Below are 16,700 nucleotides of genomic sequence, written 5' to 3'. Positions count from 1 at the left end.
AAGAAATAGAGACAAAGAGAGCCTGCCAAAACCGGTCATCCCAGGGTGACTATGCCCATGCCCAAGACTGAACCCTCATAAGAATGACATCAGAGGCTTCACACTGCATGGGAAATGGACTTAATAAAATACCCTACCCAAGTTACTAAATAAATAAGCAAGTAACATGAACAAGCACAGGAAACGGAGGAAAATCACTATCTAAAGCTGCTACAATACAGAAATGGCCTTACAAGAAATAGCAAAGGAAGTTCTTCAGGCTGAAAGCAAGTGACCACAGTAATTTAAATCTACATAAAGAAACCAAGCACTAAGAGAGGTGATTATGTAATTATGAAAGATAGCATAAATGCATATTTCTTCTCCTTTCTCTTAACTTACTTAAAAAAATATGGTATAAAGCAATATGTGTGTAATTATATTGCAGACCTATAACATGTAGAAATATAATATACTTGATCATAACAGCAGAAAGGAGGTAGGTGGACAAAGCTGTATTATAGCAAGGAAAGGACACCATATGCTCACTGAAAACTATAGGAAAAGATGAACAAGAAATAGCAAATTAGCTGGTTAATATTACAACCCCCCCAAAATATATGCTTGCTTTCTTTTTTTTTTATTATACTTTAAGTTTTAGGGTACATGTGCACAACGTGCAGGTTAGTTACATATGTATACATGTGCCACGTTGGTGTCCTGCACCCATTAACTCGTCATTTAACATTAGGTATATCTCCTAATGCTATCCCTCCCCCCTCCCCCCACCCCACAACAGGCCCTGGTGTGTGATGTTCCCCTTCTTGTGTCCATGTGTTCTCATTGTTCAATTCCCACCTATGAGTGAGAACATGCGGTGTTTGGTTTTTTGCCCTTGCGATAGTTTGCTGAGAATGATGGTTTCCAGCTTCATCCATGTCCCTATAAAGGACATGAACTCATCATTTGTTATGGCTGCATAGTATTCCATGGTGTACATGTGCCACATTTTCTTAATCCAGTCTATCATTGTTGGACATTTGGCTTAGTTCTAAGTCTTTGCTATTGTGAATAGTGCCACAGTAAACATACGTGTGCATGTGTCTTTATAGCAGTATGATTTATAATCCTTTCGGTATATACCCAGTAATGGGATGGCTGGGTCAAATGGTATTTCTAGTTCTAGATCCCTAAGGAAGCGCCACACTGACTTCCACAATGGTTGAACTAGTTTACAGTCCCACCAACAGTGTAAAAGTGTTCCTATTTCTCCACATCCTCTCCAGCACCTGTTGTTTCCTGACTTTTTAATGATAGCCTTTCTAACTGGTGTGAGATGGTATCTCATTGTGGTTTTGATTTGCATTTCTCTGATGGCCAGTGATGATGAGCATTTTTTCATGTGTCTTTTGGCTGCATAAATGTCTTCTTTTGAGAAGTGTCTGTTCATATACTTTGCCCACTTTTTGATGGGGTTGTTTGATTTTTTCTTGTAAATTTATTTGAGCTCATTGTGGATTCTGGATATTAGCCCTTTGTCAGATGAGTAGATTGCAAATATTTTCTCCCATTCGTGGTAGGTTGCCTATTCACTCTGATGGTAGTTTCTTTTGCTGTGCAGAAGCTCTTTAGTTTAATTAGATCCCATTTGTCAATTTTGGCTTTTGTTGCCATTGCTTTTGGTGTTTTAGACATGAAGTTCTTGCCCATGCCTGTGTCCTGAATGGTATTGCCTAGATTTTCTTCTAGGGCTTTTATGGTTTCAGGTCTAGCATTTAAGTATTTAATCCATCTTGAATTAATTTTTGTATAAGGAAGGGATCCAGTTTCAGCTTTCTACATATGGCTAGCCAGTATTCCCAGCACCATTTATTAAATAGGGAATTGTATCCCCATTTCTTGTTTTTGTCAGGTTTGTCAAAGATCAGATGGTTGTAGATAAGCAGCATTATTTCTGAGGGCTCTGTTCTGTTCCATTGGTCTATATCTCTGTTTTGGTACCAGTACCATGCTGTTTTGGTTACTGTAGCCTTGTAGTATAGTTTGAAGTCAGGTAGCGCAATGCTTCCAGCTTTATTCTTTTGGCTTAGGATTGACTTGGCCATGCAGGCTCTTTTTTGGTTCCATATGAACTTTAAAGTAGTTTTTTCCAATTCTGTGAAGAAAGTCATTGGTAGCTTGATGGGGATGGCATCGAATCTACAAATTACCTTGGGCAGTATGGCCATTTTCACGATATTGATTCTTCCTACCCATGAGCATGGAATGTTCTTCCATTTGTTTGTATCCTCTTTTATTTCATTGAGCAGTGGTTTGTAGTTCTCCTTGAAGAGGTCCTTCACATCCCCTGTAAGTTGGATTCCTGGGTATTTTATTCTCTTTGAAGCAATTGCGAATGGGAGTTCACTCATGATTTGGCTCTCTGTGTGTCTGTTATTGGTGTATAAGAATGCTTGTGATTTTTGCACATTGATTTTATATCCTGAGACTTTGCTGAAGTTGCCTATCAGCTCAAGGAGATTTTGGGCTGAGACAATGGGGTTTTCTAGATATACAATCATGTCATCTGCAAACAGGGACAATTTGACTTCCTCTTTTCCTAATTGAAAAAAAAATACCCTTTATTTCCTTCTCCTGCCTGATTGCCCTGGCCAGAACTTCCAACACTATGTTGAATAGGAGTGGTGAGAGAGGGCATCCCTGTCTTGTGCCCATTTTCAAAGGGAATGCTTCCAGTTTTTGCCCATTCAGTATGATATTGGCTGTGGGTTTGTCATAGATACCTCTTATTATTTTGAGATACGTACCATCAATACCTAATTTATTGAGAGTTTTTAGCATGAAGCGTTGTTGAATTTTGTCAAAGGCCTTTTCTGCATCTATTGAGATAATCATATGGTTTTTGTCGTTGGTTCTGTTTATATGCTGGATTATTTTTATTGATTTGCATATGTTGAACCAGCCTTGCAGCCCAGGGATGAAGCCCACTTGATCATGGTGGATAAGCTTTTTGATGTGCTGCTGGATTCGGTTTGCCAGTATTTTATTGAAGATTTTTGCATCGAAACAACAATATCCCTGATGAACACATCAGGGATATTGGTCTAAAATTCTCTTTTTTTGTTGTGTCTCTGCCAGGCTTTGGTATCAGGATGATGCTGGCCTCATAAAATGAGTTAGGGAGGATTCCTTCTTTTTCTATTGATTGGAATAGTTTCAGAAGGAATGGTACCAGCTCCTCCTTGTACCTCTGGTAGAATTTGGCTGTGAATCCATCTGGTCCTGGACTTTTTTTGGTTGGTAAGCTACTAATTATTGCCTCAATTTCAGAGCCTGTTATTGCTCTATTCAGAGATTCAACTTCTTGCTGGTTTAGTCTTGGGAGGGTGTATGTGTCGAGGAATTTATCTATTTCTTCTAGATTTTCTAGTTTACTTGCATAGAGGTGTTTATAGTATTCTCTGATGGTAGTTTGTATTTCTGTGGGATCGGTGGTGATATCCCCTTTATCATTTTTTATTGCGTCTATTTGATTCTTCTCTTTTCTTCTTTATTAGTCTTGCTAGCAGTCTATCAATTTTGTTGATCTTTTCAAAAAACCAGCTCCTAGATTCATTGAATTTTTGAAGGGTTTTTTTGTCTCTATTTCCTTCAGTTCTGCTCTGATCTTAGTTATTTCTTGCTTTCTGCTAGTTTTTGAATGTGCTTGCTCTTGCTTCTCTGGTTTTTTTAATTGTGATGTTAGGGTTTCAATTTTAGATCTTTCCTGCTTTCTCTTGTTGGCATTTAGTGCTTTGAATGCGTCCCAGAGATTCTGGTATGTTTTGTCTTTGTTCTCATTGGTTTCAAAGAACATCTTTATTTCTGCCTTCATTTCGTTATGTACCCAGTAGTCATTCAGGAGCAGGTTGTTCAGTTTCCATGTAGTTGAGCAGTTTGCAGTGAGTTTCTTAATCCTGAGTTCTAGTTTGATTGCACTGTGGTCTGAGAGATAGTTTGCTATAATTTCTGTTCTTTTACATTTGCTGAGGAGTGCTTTACTTCCAACTATGTGGTCAATTTTTGATTAGGTGCGGTGTGGTGCTGTGAAGAATGTATATTCTGTTGATATGCTTGCTTTCTTTTCCTCTCTCAGCTCCTTTAAAAGACATAAAATTATATATTAAGTAATAATTAACAACCCCATTAAAAAGTGGGCATAGGACATGAACAGACACTTCTCAAAAGAAGACATTTATGCAGCCAAAAAACATATGAAACAAGCTCAGCGTCACTGATTGTTAGAGAAATGCAAATCAAAACCACAGTGAGATACCATCTCATGTCAGTCAGAATGGCAGTTATTGAAAAATCAAGAAGCAACAAAAGCTCTCCAGGCCATGAAGGGATAGGAATGCTTTTACACTGTTGGTGGAAATGTAAATTAGTTCAATCATTGTGGAAGACAGTGTGGCAATTCCTCAAAGACCTAGAACCAGAAATATCATTTGACTTAGCAATCCCATTACTGGGTATATACCCAAAGAAATATAAATTATTCTGTTATGAAAATATATGGACATGTATATTCATTGCACTATTCACAATGAAAAAGACATGGAATCTACCTAAATGCCCATCAGTAATAGACTGAATAAAGAAAATGTGGTACACATACACCATGGAATACCACGCAGCCATACAAAGGAAAAAGATCATGTCCTTTCTAGGGACATGAATGGAGCTGGAAGCCATTATCTTAAGCAAACTAACACAGGAACAGAAAACCAAACACCACATGTTCTCACTCATAAGTGGAAGCTGAACAATGAGAACACGTGGACACAGGGAGAGTAACAACACACACTGGGGCCTGTTGGAGGAGGTGGCAGGGGAAGGGAGAGCATCAGGAAAAATAGCTAACGCATGCTGGCCTTAATACTTAGGTGATGGGTTAATACTTAGATGATGGGCAGCAAACCACGGTGGCACACATTTACCTATGCAATGAGCCTGCACATCCTGCACATGTACCCCAGAACTTAAAAGTTAAAAAAGAAACGTTTTTGAGCCACTAGGGACACCATTAAGAAAGTGTATTCGTCCATTTTTATGTTGTTGATTGATAGACATACCTGAGACTGGGCAATTTACAAAAGAAAGAGATTTAATGGACTTACAGTTCCACGTGGCTGGGGAGGCCTCACAATCATGATGGAAGGTGAAAGGCACATCTCACATGGCGACAGACAAGAGAAGAGTCAGAGCCAAGTGAAAGGAGTTTTTCCTAATAAAAACATCAGCTCTCGTACGACTTATTCACTACCACAAGAACAATATGGGGGAAACTGCTCCCATGATTCAGTTATCTCCCACTGGGTCCCTCCCACAACACAAGGAAATTGTGAGAGCTGTAATTCAAGATGAGATTGGGGTGAGGACAAAGCCAAACCATATTAGAAAGTTAAAAAATAATCCTCTAAATAGTAGAACATATTCACAAATCATATATCTGATAAGGGATAAAGAGCTCTTAACTCAATAATAAAAAAATTAAAAATAGACAAAGGGTGAGGAGACAAGATGGCAGATAGGAGACAGAGCTAATGTGCAGCTCCCACTTGGATGGACAGAACAGTGTGTAGAGACTCACATCATGAACTTACTTTTGCTCCAAGAATGACAGCAGGAATGTACCAGGAAAACTGAAAGAATTCACAGATCAGTTGAAAGAAGTAGCACGCCACTGCAAATTCCACAAGACAGGCAAAAAACTGTGAGTTCCCAAAGTGTGAGAGGTGGAAAACCTTCCTCAGAGCATATATCCCCACTGGGGAATCTGAAAATCTAGATCACAGGAGAAGAATTTAACCTTATCTAGAGCTGACACAGATTTAGGGAACCTCATGAAATATAAAAGTAGACGTTAAGGCAGGTGGATACCTGAGGTCAGGAGTTCAAGACCAGCCTGGCCAACATGGTGAAACCCTGTCTCTACTAAAAATATAAAAATTAGCTGGGTGTGGTAGTGGATGCCTGTAATCCCAGCTTCCCAGCTACTCAGGAGGCTGAGGCAAGGGAATCACTTGAACCCGGGAGGCGGAGGTTGCAGTGAGCCAAGATTGCACCACTGCCCTCCAGCCTGGGTGACAGAGTGAGACTCTGTCTCAAAAATAATAATAATAATAAAATAAAATAAAATAAAAATAAGTAGAAGCAGTGCCTAGAAGGCACTTCCAGTCTCCAGTTTGAGTTCAGGGAAGCCATTCCTGACTATATCTCACAGGGACCCACAAGGAAGGCAGCCAGTGGAATTAGGGAGGGCTCACAAGGAAAAAGAAGCTTCCAACTGAAATTAGTAATACTCTTGACTGGGCACACATTTTCTTGAGCAGAATCCAGGCGACAAGCAGGAACTTCTGCAGATATGGGTGCAGGAGCTGCTGCCAACAGAGTGGGCAGATGGGGAGTGAGGAGGTCCAAAAGCTGTACTTGCTCTCTCAATGGGGAAGCTGACAGCATGGAGCAAGGCCTGAGTGGGGCGCTGCAGGAGTGAGACAGGCCTCACCAACTGCATGGGAGCTGGGTGAGGCCTCTCACTGCTGGCTACCCTCTACTTCCCTGGCAAACTATATGACACATCAGAGGCAGCCAAAATCCCCTCTGGTATATAACCCCATTGGTTTGAGAACCACCTCCCTTCTCCAACAATGGCCATGGCAAACCCTGCCCAAGGAGAGTCTGAGCTCAGAACTGCCTAGCCTTGTCCCCACCTTATGGTAATTCTCTACCTGCTCTGACCCAGAGAATTCTCTTGGTCTGCTACTAGACCAAATAGCTGAACACAAAAGATAGAAACTCTTGGGAGCCTTATGGCCCAGCCCATTGCCTGAGAAACCAAAAGACTTACCCTGGCCAACTTAGGGCAAGCTTGGATCTCCCTGCTACCTTAGTTGGTGCTCTCTTGAAAGTACCACCTCCTGGCTAGAGGCCAACCAACTCAGGCTATTACAGCACCTCATGGCAGAATAACCCTGATCCCAGGAAGGAGAAAACAATAGCTAATTTCACTGTCTGAAACATCTTGGCTAACCAGAGGTCCTGAGTGTGTCCACATGACAACTTCACTGCTAGCACAGCCAGCATTTGAGAAAGCCAGCACACTAAACATATATATAACCAAGGACTCTCACAGAGTCTACTTCACTCCCCTGCTACCTCTGTCAGTGCAGATTCAGGTATCCATGGCTAGGAGACCTGAAGACGAATCAATCACAGGACTCTTTGTACATTCCCTAGTACCAGCCTGGAGCCTGATAGCCCTGCGGGGTAGCTAGACCCTGAAGAGCAATAACAATTACTGCAGTCCTGTTCTCAGAAAGCCCCATCCCTAGGAGAAGGAGAGCACCACATCAAGGGATCACCCTGTGAAACAAAAGAATCTGAGCAGCAGGCTTTTAGTTGCAGACCTTTCCACTGAAATAGTCTACCCAAATGAGAAGGAAACAGAAAAGTAATTCTGGTAATATGACAAAACAGGGGTCTATAACATCCACAAAAGATCACACTAGCTCCCCAGCCATGGATCCAAACCAAGAAGAAATCTCTGAATTGCCAGATAAAGAATGCAGAAGATTGATTATTAAGCTACTCAAGGAGGCACCAGAGAAAGGTGAAAAACAATGTAAAGAAACTTTTAAAAAATACAGGATATGGATGGAAAATTCTCCAGAGAAATAGATATCATAAAGAAAATACAATCACAACTTCTGGAAATAAAAATCACACTTAGAGAAATACAAAATGCACTCAAAGGTTTCAACAAAGACTAGACCAAGTAGAAGAAAGAACTTCACCGCTCAAAAACAAGGCTTTCACATTAACCCAATTAGACAAAGACAAAGAAATAGGAATTTTTTAAAAAATGAGCAAAGCCTCCAAAAAAATGGGATTATGTTAAGTGGCCAAACCTAAGAATAATTGTTGTTTCTGAGGAAGAATAGAAATCTAAATGTTTGGAAAACTTATTTGAAAGAATAATTGAGGAAAATTTCCCTGACCTTATTAGAGATCTAGACATCCACATACAAGAAGCTCAAAGAACACCTGGGAAATCCATCACAAAAAGATCATCACCTAGGCACATAGTCATCAGGTTATTTAAAGTCAAGACAAGGGAAAGAATCTTAAGAGCTGTGAAACAAAAGCATCAGATTACCTACAAAGGAAAACCTATAAGATTAACAGCAGATTTCTCAGCAGAAACCCCGCAAGCCAGAAGGGATAGGGATTCCATCTTTAGCCTCCTGAAACAAAATAGCTGTCAGCTAAGAATTCTGTATCCAGCAAAAATAAGCTTCATATCAGAGAGGTTAGGATAATGGTGAATAGGAGGCAGGACCAAATTGCAGCTTCCACTTGGAGAGACAGAGCACTATGTGGAGAATCACATCATGAACTTTTGCTCCAAGAACTGCTGCAGGAACGTACCAGGAAAGCCGAGAGGATCCACAGACACTTTGAAGGGAGCAGGTTGCTCCTGCAGTCCTAGGAGACAGCCCAAAAACTGTGAGTGCCCAAAATGTGAAAGGAGGATCATCTGCTCCCAAACATACACCCTCAGTGGGGAACCTGAAGGTCCAGATCAGGGGAGAAGGATTTGACCTTACCTGGAGCTGAGACAATTTTAGAGAGCCAAGCAAAATACAGGGATAGAAGAAGCAGCAGGAAGAGCCCCGTGGGCTCTCACAGTCCCCAGGGAAGCCATGTCTGACTTTGTCTCACAGAGGTCCTTGGGGAGGGCTGCCAGAGGAACTGGAAAAAGACCACAGAGAGAGGGAAGCTTCCAGCTGAACTTTGTAACAATTTCAACTGAATGCAAATTTTCCTGGGCATAACTTGGGAGAGGGCATGAATCTGGAGTGCAGACACAGCACAGAAGCCATGGCAGGCAGGAAGTGTGAAACCTGAAAGCCCCGCTCACTTTCATAGCCAGAAGGTTGGCAGCCTGGGGCAAGTTCTCAGCCCTGCTCACCTGCTGCCTGGAAACAACCCAGTGATGTTGGGGAGGGGGTATGGTGGGAGTGAGACTGGCATTTTGGGCTGCATAGCAGCTGGATGAGGCCTATAACTGTCGGCTTTCCTTACTGGTCACATACATGACACAGCAGAGGCAGCCATAATCCCCCTGAGAATATAACTTCATTGGCCTGAGAACCACACCCCCACTCCCCAATCCCCCACAGCAGCCACAGCAAGCCCCACCCAAGGAGAGTCTGAGCTCAGACACACCTAACCCTGCCCCCACCTGATGGTCTTTCTCTACCTGCCCTGGTAGCCAAAAACAAAGAGCTCCCTTGGGAACTCTAGGGCACTGCCCACTGCCTGATCATCCCTATACTACCACAGCTGATGCTCTCTTGATCCTCCACTTCCTGGCAGGAGGCCAAACAGCACAAAACTAGTGCAATAAACAAAACTACAACTAAGGACCCTCACAGAGTTCATTTCACTCTCCTGCCACCTCCACCAGAGCAAGTGCTGCTATCCACAGCTAAGAGACCTGAAGATGGTTCACATCACAGGACTCTGTGTAGACACCCCCAAGTACCAGCCTGGAGCCAGGTAGCTCTGCTGGATGGCTAGATCCAGAAGAGAAATAACAATCACTACACTTTGGCTCTCAGAAAACCCCATCCCTGGGGAAATTGGGGGAGCACTACATCAAGGGAGTACCCAATGGGACAAAAGAATCTGAATAGTGGCCCTTGAGCCCCAGGTCTTCCCTTTGACATAGTCTACCTTAATGAGAAGGAACCAGAAAAACAATTCTGGTAATATGACAAAACAAGGTTCTTTAACACCCCTAAAAGATCACCCTTGCTCACCAGCAATGGATTCAAGCCAAGAAGAAATCTCTGAATTGCCAAAAAGAGAATTCAGAAGGTCAATTATTAAGCTAATCAAGGAGGTACCAGAGAAAGGTGAAGTCCAATTTAATGAAATTTAAACAAATGATATAAGATACAAAGGAAAAAATCTTCAGTGAAATAGATAGCATAAATAAAAAAATAGCAGTTTCTGGAAATAAAGGACATGCTTATAGAAATGCAAAATGCACTGAAAAGTCTTGGCAATTGAATCAAGCAAGCAGAAGAAAGGACTTCAGAGCTTAATGACAAGGTTTTTGAATTAACCTAATCCAACAAAGACAAAGAAAAAAGAATAAAAAATGAACAAAGCCTCCAAGAAGTTTAGGATTATGTTAAATGACCAAACCTAGGAATAATTGATTTGATATTCCTGAGGAACAAGAGAAATCTAAAAGTTTTGAAAGCATATTTAAGGGAATAATCAAAAAAAAAACTTCCACAGCATTGCTAAAAATCTAGACATCCAAATACAAGAAGCTCAAACGACACCCGAGAAATTTATCACAAAAAGATCATCACCTAGACACATAGTCATCAGGTTACCTAAAGTCATAATGAGGAAAGAATCTTAAGAGTTGTGAGGCAAAAGCACTAGGTAATCTATAAAGGAAAACCTATTATATTAACAGCAGACTTCTCAGCAGAAACCCTACAAGATAGAAGGGATCGGGGCCCTATATTCAGCCTCCTTGAACAAAACAATTATTAGCCAAGAATTTTGTATCCAGTGAAACTAAGCTTCATGAGTGAAGGAAAGATACAGTCTTTTTCAGACAAACAAATGCTGAGAGAATTTGCCACTACCAAGCCAGCACTACAAGAACTGCTAAAAGGAGCTCTAAATCATGAAACAAATCCTTGAAATACGTCAAAATAGAACATCCTTAAAGCATAAATCTCACAGGATCTGTAAAACAAAAACACAATAAAATTTTAAAAACCCAAAGCATTCAGGCAACAAATAGCATGATTAATAGAATAGTACTTCACGTCTCAGTACTAATGCTGAATGTAAATGGCCTAAATGCTCCATTTAAAGGATACAGAATGGCAGAATGGATAAGAATTCACCAACCAAGTATCTGCTTTCTTCAGGAGATTCACCTAACACATAAGGACTCACATAAACTTAAAGTAAAGGGGTGGAAAACGATATTCCATGCAAATGGACACCAAAAGGGAGCAGGAATAGCTATTCTTATATCAGACAAAAAACACTTTAAAGCGACAGCAGTTGAAAAAGATGAAGAGGGACATTATATAATGTCCAAGTGGAAAATGTCACAATCCTAAATATATGCACCTAATACTGGAGCTCCCAAATTTATAAAACAATTACTACTAGACCTAAAAAATGTGATAGACAGCAACACAAGAATAGTGGGGAACTTCAGTACTCCACTGACAGCACTAGACAGGTCATCAAGAGAAAAAGTCAACAAAGAAACAGTGGATTTAAACTATACCTTAGAACAAATGAACTTAATGGATATTTACAGAACATTCTACCCAACAAATGCAGAATATACATTCTGTTTATCAGCACAGGGAACATTCTGTAAGATAGACCATATGATAGACCACAAAACAAGTTTCAATAAATTTTTAAAAATTGGAATTACATCAAGTACTCTCTCAGACCACAGTGGAATAAAACTATAAACTGATTTCTAAAGGAACCCTCAAAACTACACAAATACATGGAAATTAAATAACCTATTCCTTAATGATCATCAAAAAGTCTGAAAGAGCACATATAGACAATCTAAGGTCACTTCTCATGGAACTAGAGAAACAAGAACAAACCAAACCCAAACCCAGCAGAAGAAATAACAAAGGTAAGAGCAGAACTAAATGAAATTGAAACAAAAAAGAAAACAAAAGATAAATGGAACAAAAAAGCTGATTATTTGAAAAGATAAATAAAATTAATAGACCATTAGCGAGATTAACCAAGAAAAGAAGACAGAAGACATTAGTAAACTCAATTAGAAATGAAATGGGAGATATTACAACTGATATCACAGAATTACAAAAAAATATTCAAGGCTACTATGAACACCTTTATACCTATAAACTAGAAAACCTAGAGAAGATACATAAATTCCTGGAAATATACAAACCTCCTAGATTAAACCAGGAAAAAATAGAAATGCTGAACAGACCAATAACAAGCAGAGAGATTGAAATGATTATAAGACAATTGCCAATAACAACAAAAAAAGTCCAGGACCAGATGATTTCACAGCTGAATTCTATCAGACATTCAAAGAAAAATTGATACCAATCCTATTGATGCTATTCCACAAGATAGAAGAAAAGAGAATCCTCCCTAAATCATTCTGTGAAGCCAGTATCACCCTAATACCAAAACCAAGAAAGGACATAGCAAAAAAAAGAAAACTACAGACCAATACCCCTGACAAATGTGATGCAAAAATCCTTAACAAAATACTAGCTAACCAAATCCAACAGCATATCAAAAAAATAATCTACCATGATCAAGTGGGTTTCATACCAGGGATGCTTTAACATGTGCAAGTCAATAAATGTGATACACCACAAAAATAGCATTAAAAACAAAAATTACATGATCATGTCAATAGATGCAGAAAAAGCATTTGACAAAATCCAGCATCACTTTATAATTAAAATCCTCAGCAAAATCAGCATAGAAGGAACATACCTTAATGCAATAAAAGCCATCTATGACAAACACACAGCTGACATAATACTGAATGGGGGAAAAGTTGAAATCATTCCCCCTGAGAACTGGAACCAGACAAGGATGCCCAATCTCACCACTTCTATTCAACATAGTACTGGAAATCACAGCCAGAGCAATCAGACAAGATAAAGAAATAAAGGACATCCAAATCAGTAAAGAGGAAGTCAAATTGTCGCTGTTTGCTGATGATATGATTGTGTACCTAGAAAACCCTAAAGACTCCTCCAAAAGCTCCTAGAACTGATAAATGGATTCAGCAAAGTTTCAGGATGCAAAATTAAGGTAATCAAATCTGTAGCTTTGCTGTGTATACAACAGCAGTGACCAAGCTGAGAATCACATCAAGAACTCAATCCCTTTTACAATAGCTGCAAATATACCTAACCAAGGAATATACCTAACTAAGGATGTGAAAAATCTCTACAAGGAAAACCACAAAACACTGCTGAAAGAAATCATAGATGAGACAAACAAATGGAAACACATCCCATGTTCATGGACAGGTAGAATCAATATTGTGAAAATAATCATACTACCAAAAGCAATCTAGAGATACTGCCAAAAGCAATCTAGAGTTCCAATGCATTTCCCATAAAAATACCACCATCTCATCACAGAACTAGAAAAAACAATCCCAAAATTCATATGAAACAAAGAGCCTGCATAGCCAAAGAAAGACTAAGCAAAAAGAACAAATCTGGAAGCATCACATTACACAACTCCAAATTATACTATAAGGCCACAGTCACCAAAATAGCATGGTACTGGTATAAAAATAGGCACCTAGGCCAATGAAACAGAATAGAGAACCCAGAACAAAAGCCAAATACTTAAAGCCATCTGATCTTTGACAAAGCAAACAAAAACATAAAGTGGAGAAAGGACACCCTATTCAACAAATGCTGCTGGGATAACTGGCAAGCCACAAGTAGAAGACTGAAACTGGATACTCATCTCTCACCTTACATAAAAATCAACTTAGATGGATCAAATATTTAAATATAAGACCTGAAACCATAAAAATTCTAGAATATAACATTGAAAAATTCCTTCTAGACATTTGCTTAGGCAAAGGCTTCATAATCAAGAACCTAAGAGCAAATGCCACAAAACCAAAGAAAATAGATGGGACTTAAATAAACTAAAAAGCTTCTGCACAGCAAAAGAATCAGCAGAGTAAACAGACAACCCATAGAATGGGAGAAATTATTCACAAATTATGCACCCAACAAAGGACTAAATCCAGAATCTACAAGGAACTCAAACAAACTAGCAAGAAAAAAACAAACAATCCCATCAAAAAGTGGGCTAAGGACATGAATAGACAATTCTCAAAAGAAGATATGCAAATGGCCAATAAACATATGAAAAAATGCTCAACATCACTAATGATCAGGGAAATGCAAATCAAAACCACAATGTGATACCATCTTACTCCTGCAGGAATGGCCATAATCAAAATATCAGAAAATAATAGACGTTGGCAGGAATGTGGTGAAAAGAGAACACGTTTACATTGCTGGTGGGAATGTAAACTAGTACAGCTATGGAAAACCGTTTGGAGATTCCTTAAAGAACTAAAAGTAGAACTACCATTTGATCCAGCAATCCCACTACTGGGTATTTACTCAGAGGAAAAGAAGTCATTATACGAAAAAGATACCTGCACATACATGTTTATAGCAGCACAATTCACAATTGCAAAAATTTGAAACCAGCCCAAATGCCCACCAATCAGCAAGTGGATAAAGAAAATGTGATAAATATGTACCACAGAATACTATTCAGACTTAAAAAGGAATGAAATAATGCCATTTGCAGCAACCTGTATGGAGTTGGAGACCATTATTCTAAGTGAAGTAACTTAGGAATGGAAAACCAAATATTGTATGTTCTCACTTATAAGTGGGAGCTGAATTATGAGGACACAAAGGCATAAGAATGATATAACGGACTTTGGGGACTCATGGAGAAAGGTAGGAAGGGGTGAGAGATAAAAGACTACCCATTGAGTACAGTGTACACTGCGCAGGTGATGGGTGCACCAAAATCTCAGAAATTACCACTAAAGAACTTATCCATGTAACCAAAAACCACCTGTTTCTCAAAAGGTATTGAAATAGAATAAATAAATAAAATTTTTAAAAATTGAATAGAAATAGACATTTTTCCTAAGAAGATATACAAATGGCCTGTAAGTCCATTAAAGGGTACTTGACATAATTAGTTATCAGGGTATTGCAAATCAAAGCTACAATGAGATACCACTTCATACCCACTAGGATGGCTATAATTAAAAAGCTTTTTTTTTTTGAGATGGAGTCTTGCTCTGTCACCCAAGCTGGAGTGCAGTGGTGCAATCTCAGCTCACTGCAACCTCTGCCTCCCAGGTTCAAGCGTTTCTCCTGCCTCAGCTTCCAGAATGGCAGGGATTACAGGCACCCACCACCACACCTGACTAATTTTTTGTATTTTTAATAGAAACAGGGTTTTGCCATGTTTGCCAGGCTGGTCTCGAACTCCTGAGCTCAAGTGATCCGCCCACCTCAGCCTCCTAAAGTGCTGGGATTACAGGCACGAGCCACTGCGCCCAGCCTTAAAAAGGCATTTTTAAACAGTGTGGGTGAAATTAAAACCCTAATACAATGCTAATGGGAATAGAACATGTTACATCCGTTTTGGAAAACAGTCTGGCAGCTTCTAAAAAGGTCAAAAAATAGAGTTACCATGGTACCTAGCAATTGGACATCTAGGTGTATATCCAAGAAAAATAAAAACATATGTTCACTCAATCACTTGTACATGACTGTTCATAGCGGCATTATTGATAATAGCCAAAAAGTGCAAACAACCGAAGTGTCCATAAACTAATGAAGGAATGAATAAAATGTGGTATATCTGTACAATGGAATACTATTTGGCCATAAAGAGAAATAAGGTACTATACATGCTACAACATGAATGAACCTTGAAAACATTATGTTAAGAAAAACAAGCCAATCACAAAAGACCACACGTTGTATGATTTTATTTATATAAAATGTCCAAATTAGGTAAATCTATAGAGATGAAAAGTCACTTGATGGTTGCCTATGGCTAGGAGACTTGCAGAAAAATGGAGAGAGACTGTGAATTGTATGGGTTTTTTGTTTGTTTGGTTAATTGGTTTCTGGAGGTAATGAAAATGATCTAAAATTTATTATGATGATGGTTGTACATTATTCTATATGTTAAAAATATTTGACTTCTACACTTTAAATAGGTGAACTGTTCTGTATATGAATTATATAAAGCTGTTAAAGCTCAGCAAAGCTGTTATATATAAAAATTAAAGATAATTGGAAGATGTTTAATAAAATATGTGCACTTCTGTTTTAAGTTATTAAAATGTCCCAGAAACCAGCTCACAACTCCCTGGTCTTCTCACAAGCTCTGGGCTTCTCTGGAAAAATGGTCCACTGCAGTAAAGACTATTTTTAACCTTAAGTAATTAGAAGGAGAGCTAAAATCAGAATGTGGTCCAGTGAGATACCATCTCATGCCAGTTAGAATGGCGATCATTAAAAAGTCAGGAAACAATAGATGCTGAAGAGGATATGGAGAAATAGGAATGTTTTTACACTGTTGGTTGGACTGTAAATTAGTTCAACCATTGTGGAAGACAGTGTGGCGATTCCTCAAGGATCTAGAACCAGAAATACCATTGACTCAGCGATCCCATTGCTGGGTATATACCCAAAGGATTATAAATCATTCTACTATAAAGACACATGCACACACATGTTTATTGCAGCACTGTTCACAATAGCAAAGACTTGGAACCAACCCAAATGCCCATCAATGATAGACTGGATAAAGAAAATGTGGCACATATACACCATGGAATACTATGCAGCAAAAAAAAGGATGAGTTCATGTTCTTTGCAGGGACTTGGATGAAGCTGGAAACCATCATTCTCAGCAAACTAACACAGGAACAGGAAACCAAACACTGCGTGTTCTCACTCATAAGTGGGAGTTGAACAATGAGAACACATGGGCACAGGGAGGGGAACATCACACACCAGGGTCTGTCAGGGGCT

The 16,700-nt window shown here is 39.3% G+C and overlaps 1 long non-coding RNA gene across 8 annotated transcripts in view; it reads left to right on the top strand.

Moving 5' to 3' along the window:
• Positions 1-16,700, top strand: part of LOC101930053 (uncharacterized) — a 121,382-nt gene that overhangs the window by 58,117 nt on the left and 46,565 nt on the right. The gene's annotated exons all lie outside the window — the stretch shown is intronic.

The sequence above is a fragment of the Homo sapiens genome, chromosome 9 (genome assembly GCF_000001405.40).
Source record: "Homo sapiens chromosome 9, GRCh38.p14 Primary Assembly".
In the NCBI taxonomy this organism is placed as follows: Eukaryota; Metazoa; Chordata; class Mammalia; order Primates; family Hominidae; genus Homo; species Homo sapiens.
This window is presented reverse-complemented; position numbering and strand designations above follow the sequence as displayed.